Below are 2,223 nucleotides of genomic sequence, written 5' to 3' on the forward strand. Positions count from 1 at the left end.
TGTAAACCAGCAAAAAATAAAAATTGCAACTGCAAAACCTAGGTCAACCCTCTCCTCACCTTTCCTTCACTCCTCCATCTTCCCCATTCTCCACCCACACACATGTTAATCCAGGTGCGACCTACTTAAAATTAACTCCAAGGGCAAAGTCAGTGAGTGAGAAGGGCGGGGAGCCTGGAGTTGCTGGAATGGAGGAGGTGGGAAAGGAGGAGGCTGCCTGGGTTGCCTTGGCAATACAAAGGAGAATGTCAAGGGGGAGGGATTTATGCGCTGATGCTAATTGCATTTGTTAATTACATTCTATTGTGCTGACCTGCCTGCTTCCCCGGTTTATCTTTCTGAGTCAATAAGCAGTTCCAAAAGCTTCCCTTAGCAGTGTGTCCCTCCTCATCTAATTTTATCCCTCTATCAGCTTCAGGCTCAGTTACCAGAGTGCTACCTTTGGCAAGGAACCGGGGAAGGCTGTGCTGAAACTGAGTGTGCGAGGTTTTAAAAATCCTGTAGAAAAATATATCCCTGTTGGAGCTTGCTGGAATATTGCTTTGCTGTTCAACCACAGCATGGATTTACAACCAAAGAAAGCTGCTGAAAAACCAGAGAAAATAAATCTGAAAGAAACTTCCCACAGTGAAAAGCAGGCTGCAAATGATTCACCAGGAAGAAAAATAAATAAATAAATACTGAGCAGTTTCGTCTGGTATCTAGCGTACCTTTGGTTGGAAAGGTGCCTGTACACAGGGCCTTGAGCTTTATTTTCTTGCCCCCCCTAGTGGGAGTTCTATTTAATTACAACAAGAGTCCCAGCTTCTGTGCACATCCGAATAAATACAATGATACCTACTGTAAATAATGCTGTCTTATAATCTCTCATCACTGACATGAAGTATTAGCTTACAGCACTGTTGCATGTGATAAAAATCAGCAAAGACATTGCGACGCATGTAGTTGTAATTGCTATGTGGATACTTTCTTAAATCTTACTATAATTTTAAGTATTTAAAAGTAATACATAGAAATTCTGTGCTAAAGTAAGTTGTTCACAGCAATGCTTTTTGTTTCCAGTTATATTCATTCTTCCCTTTGGTTCCTCTTTACAAACAAAGTCTAAGAAATGGTAAAGTCTTTCTTCAGTCTATGCTTTCCTTAACGATTTTTATTCTCCTTGAATTAAACAATTGCTCTCAGGGTGGTTCTGTATCTATTAATTTTCCTAAGAATAAGACTTTGATTTTACCAAAAAAAAAAAAAAAAAAAAAAAAACCTTTTGCATTTTAACAAAAAACCTCTTCTGAAGTTTCACCTGGTGTTTCTACATTTCTCAAGCACTGACTCATTTCATTGCTCAGAGCTCAAATTGGCTCCTTGAAGGCAATAAAAGGCAGGTCAGGCTGTCTCTAGGCTGTTCAGTGTCTATCATCCTGTTTTGCATTTGCTCATAAAGTGTGGCAGATTTATCCGGGTGGAAAATTTTTTCAATGGAAAAGTTTAGTCACTGTGCACATTGAAAGAACGTTTCCTGCAGAAATACAGACTCCTCATCATTCCTAGTCCTTAGGCTCACACTAGTGTTTTCTCCATTTATATGCATATGAAATTCCTTGGAATCATCAGTGGTGGTATGGGAAAAAGGAGAAAGAAAGAGGTTTTGGCTGGGATCCCTGATGATTTTGATGGATTTGCTATATCTGTACCCTAGGCCCCTTGCCACATCTGTGATGCAAAAACCACACTAATTGTTTTGCCTTTGTACAGTGTCACAACACACAGCAATGCCAGGTGGATCATCATGCTTGAATTGCAAAACATTTCCCATTAGACCTGAACACAGATCTGAAACTGCCTGGCTGCCATGTCTGTTTCCTTACTGAAATTTGGAGGTGTGGGAATCCTCAGTTGTGTTCCAAGTCCAGAAAACAGTTGAGAATTGTTCTCTAGATATGTATGTGTCTAAGGGATGTAAAAAGACTCTCCTTGGAGAGAGATCTGTTTTTGAACCACGTCTAAGCCTCAATTATCAGAAGGGTAGAGTAATTATGAGAAAAGCATGGAACAGTCTCTAGACTTGTATCTCATTCAGGGCCTCATGGATTTATGCCTCAATTTAAAAAAAGGTAGCCATGAATTTAAATAACATGAATAAATTATCAAACTCTTCTCTAAAAAATCTTCAGAACACTGGAATACAAGGTGTTATTATTTCATGAGGTATAATTCAGGAGAAAG

Source organism: Homo sapiens, chromosome 7 (genome assembly GCF_000001405.40).
Source record: "Homo sapiens chromosome 7, GRCh38.p14 Primary Assembly".
NCBI classification, from domain to species: Eukaryota; Metazoa; Chordata; class Mammalia; order Primates; family Hominidae; genus Homo; species Homo sapiens.